The sequence below is a fragment of the Homo sapiens genome, chromosome 14, assembly GCF_000001405.40.
Source record: "Homo sapiens chromosome 14, GRCh38.p14 Primary Assembly".
Classification (NCBI taxonomy): Eukaryota; Metazoa; Chordata; class Mammalia; order Primates; family Hominidae; genus Homo; species Homo sapiens.
Genome location: NC_000014.9, coordinates 94,633,457 through 94,634,574, shown reverse-complemented (window position 1 = coordinate 94,634,574; position 1,118 = coordinate 94,633,457). Strand labels below are relative to the sequence as shown.

The window sequence follows — 1,118 nt, the reverse complement described above, 5'->3', positions numbered from 1 at the left end:
TAAAAGCACTTGGGAAGTTCCTCCTCCACCCCTCAGATGGGAAGGCTCAGAGAAGGGAGTCATCAGTGCAGTCACCTTCTCGGCTGTAATGGAATTCCTGAAGGTTGGAGACCCCACAGAAGTGGACAAAGGCCACCGTCACCATGAGGACATGGAAAATCTGCTGAGACTGGAACCATATGTCTAATTTTCCAGGAAAGAAGCGCTCAGGAATTTAAGCAGCATAAAGGCCAGCTCTGGTGATGTACATCACAGCCACGAGGAAGAACCAGCCCATCTGGCCCACTGTGGTGGCCTTGACGAAACCCTCAGCAATAGGAAAGTGCATGGTGGGCACAATACCGCTCAAGCCAAGTCCCAGCAACACCCCTGCCCTTGTCTGCCGGTGCTTAGGAGTGACAAACCGGTCCCACTGTCACAATGATGGCAGAGATGCCCAGGACATAGATGATGGAGAAGTAGATGAGCCGTGGCTGTGGCGAGCAGTAGAAGGAGTAACAGAGCCAGGGGACGAAGCTCCTTATGAGCAGTGGAGCAATCCCTGAATAGTACAGTTTGGAAAAAGTCCGAGAGACTTTCTCTGAATGACAGTAGACAGTGCGGACGAGCCAGGAGAAGCTGAGGCTAGAGCACTGCACCCAAAAGGAATATCCTCCAAATCACTTTCTCCTGTAGAGGGGCCGTGAAGTACATATTTGGTCTGAGCATGGTCAAGATTTCCAAAAAGAGAAACAGCACGAAACCAAGCAGATGTGTCCGGCTGCTGCCGGTTTCTGTATGGATATAGAAGATGCTCTTGAAGCAAGCCCAGAAGGAGGACATGGGTTGTCTATGGCCATAGAGCAGACAGTCATTGTCCTGCAGACAGTCATTGTCCTTCAGCCAGTCAGGGAGCCCATCATATTGATGGTGGCAGCAGCTTGTCTGGAGCTGCGGCTGCCGGGATGCCAGCAGCACGGGGGCGGGGCGGGGCGGGAGAAATGCCTGGCCAGGGTTGCATGCTCTGTGGAGCCAGTTGGGGCTGGTAACAGTAGGGAGCCCTGTCCCCTACTGAATTGGTGGGGTGGGACCCCCATGCATTCAGGTGCAGCTGCAGCCGCCCATCCTCAACTCCAGAC

The 1,118-nt window shown here is 53.8% G+C and overlaps 1 pseudogene; it reads right to left on the bottom strand.

Moving 5' to 3' along the window:
- ADIPOR1P2 (adiponectin receptor 1 pseudogene 2) lies at positions 1–904 on the bottom strand (annotated as a pseudogene).